The 2,437-nt window shown below is 57.2% G+C and overlaps 2 annotated features.

Annotated features, from left to right (window-relative positions):
• Positions 266–405: a silencer, noted in NCBI's record as "silent region_16941". NCBI's record gives its function as "represses an Ori minimal core promoter by ATAC-STARR-seq in GM12878 lymphoblastoid cells {active_cell/tissue: GM12878}" and the evidence as "EXISTENCE:reporter gene assay evidence [ECO:0000049][PMID:35858748]".
• Positions 1,519–2,101: an enhancer, noted in NCBI's record as "H3K27ac-H3K4me1 hESC enhancer chr6:13872467-13873049 (GRCh37/hg19 assembly coordinates)". NCBI's record gives its function as "activates a minimal SCP1, AML or CMV promoter by ChIP-STARR-seq in naive H9 embryonic stem cells {active_cell/tissue: H9 hESC(naive)}" and the evidence as "EXISTENCE:reporter gene assay evidence [ECO:0000049][PMID:30033119]".

Genomic DNA, 2,437 nt, shown 5'->3' with positions numbered 1-2,437 from the left:
CCTGAACCAATTCTATTTCAGGATTCTCGGGATTCAGGATTCTCAGCTCAATCAGAACAAATACGTAGCAGTTTTCCTCTTCTTATTGGTAATTTTAATGACTCTTACTTTGTGGAACTCTCCCCCTGGGTGCCCTAGGAGCAGCCCGGGAGGAAAACCGAAAGCTAATCTGTTGTAGATGCAGGCCCTTCAGGTAATTTGAGCCCAGCTGAGGGGTTGTCGTTTCACCCAGCCGTGCAAATGGTGCAAATGTGTCCTGTTGAGTCGCCCTGGCTTCCGTCACTGTCCAGGTGGAAGCCCCTCCCCGGAGCAGCGCGGGCCGCAGGCCACCCCCTCGTGCCCTCGCCTTCGCCTCACCGGCGCCACCTGTTCTTCCTCCCTTTCCTGCGGGTCCCAGCCGCTGGTGCCCTCTGGTGGCGGCCCTGCTGGCCTTGTCGTGTGACATGCGGGGGGCGTCGTGAGTCTACTGGCTTTTGCGTCGCGTCCTCGGGAGGGGTAGGACCCCCTCAGGCAGTGAGGCCACCTCCGCCCCCTCCCTCCCTGCGAACGGGTGGAGCTGCTGCTTCGCTCTGCAGAGCCACGCCCCTTGTCCGTGGCTGAGACCCTGACCCAGGTGCAGGAGTTCTCCACAGAAACCAGAGGCGATCTCACTCCCGCCCTGCCCTCCGACGTCCCTCTGCCTCCCGCCAAGTCCCTGCCCATCACCCTGCGAGTACCGGGCAGCTTGGCGAAGAGCCAGCAGGACCGCAGGCCAGGCTCTGCCCGGCCCGAGGGATCCTACTGGGACTTCGTGGGAGGGACGGGTGGAAATTCCCAGATTCACAGGAAAGGCACAGGGAAGGCAGAGTTGCCACTTCATTAACTCTGTTCTGCAAAAGAAAACTCACCTGCTCTCTCTCCGGTTAGCTTGCTTCCTCTCTTCTCCCCTCCCCGCCCTCTAATCTCTCTCTCACACGCACACACACACACACACACCGGAAAAGAGGGAAAACCAGTTTTCCTCTTTTTCTCAACTGTCTCACCTGCACAAGGCCACTGTATTAGTTTGCTAGGGCCACCGGAACAGTCAACACACTGAGGGGCTTAAACAACAAAAATTGATTCTCTCACAGTTCTAGAGACTGAAAATCCAAGATCAAAGTGTTGGCAGGGTTGGTTTCTCCCAAGACCTCCCTTCCGTGGCTTGTAGATGGCCACTTTCTTGCTATGTCCTCATGGTCTTTTCTCTGTGCCCCAGGACCCCTGGTTTCTCCATTAGACATCACATATTGGATTAAGGCCCACCCTAGTGGCCTCATTTTACCTCAGTCACCTCTGTAAAGACCTTATCTCCAAATATGGTGACATTCTGAGATACAGGGGTTGGGTCTTCAACATATAAACCTGGGTGGGTGGTAAGGGGAACACAGTTCAGCCCATGAGAGTCACCCTGTTGCCTAACCACTGGTGATGGGGAAGGAGTGGTGTAGGATCAGAAGAGGAAGTTTAATGTCTGAGGTTGTTGCCGGAATAAACACATCACATTCCCCTGTTACCCATATTTAAGCCCTCTCCTTCACAAATACTGGTGTGACACTCCCGCTTAACTGCCTCACCTGGATGACAATAAACTTGTTCCCAATTGTTGAGCACTTGAAAAACAAAATGTGGGGGTCATGGGGAAATGAACCTTTCCCGTACAGTAGAAATTGCTTCCTTGTGTGCAAAGAGATTGAACCAGAAGTATAGACAGGAGGTTAAAAAGTCCCTGGAATCACCCTCAGCAGAAGCAAAGAAAAAAAAAAATGAAAGCCAAAGCCAATGCTGCTGGAGCTGCCTGAAACCCCAAGACCACACCTTGAATATGCTGTTGAGAGGTGACAGCGTACTGGCAGTCCTCACAGCCCTCACTCGCTCTCGGCACCTCCTCTGCCTGGGCTCCCACTTTGGCGGCACTTGAGTAAGCCCTTCAGCCCACCACTGCACCCTGGGAGTCCCTTTCTGGGCTGGCAAAGGCCGGAGCCGGCTCCTTCAGCTTGCAGGGAGGTGTGGAGGGAGAGGAGCGAGCGGGAACCGGGGCTGCGCGCGGCGCTTGCGGGCCAGCTAGAGTTCCGCGTGGGCGTGGGCTTGGCGGGCCCCGCACTGGGAGCAGCCGGCCAGCCCTGCCAGCCCCAGGAAATGAGGAGCTTAGCACCCAGGCCAGCGGCTGCAGAGGATGTACTGGGTCCCCCAGCAGTGCCAGCCCACCGGCGCTGCTCTTGATTTCTCACTGGGCCTTAGCTGCCTTCCGGCAGGGCAGGGCTCGGGACTTGCAGCCCGCCATGCCTGAGCCTCCCACCCTCTCCGTGGGCTCCTGTGCCGCCCAAGCCTCCCCGACGAGCGCCGCCCCCTGCTCCACAGCGCCCAGTCCCATCAACCACCCAAGGGCTGAGAGGCGCGGGACTAGCAGGCAGCTCCA

The sequence above is a fragment of the Homo sapiens genome, chromosome 6 (genome assembly GCF_000001405.40).
Source record: "Homo sapiens chromosome 6, GRCh38.p14 Primary Assembly".
In the NCBI taxonomy this organism is placed as follows: domain Eukaryota; kingdom Metazoa; phylum Chordata; class Mammalia; order Primates; family Hominidae; genus Homo; species Homo sapiens.
The sequence above is the reverse complement of the archived record's forward strand: the minus strand, read 5'-3'. Positions and strand labels throughout refer to the sequence as shown.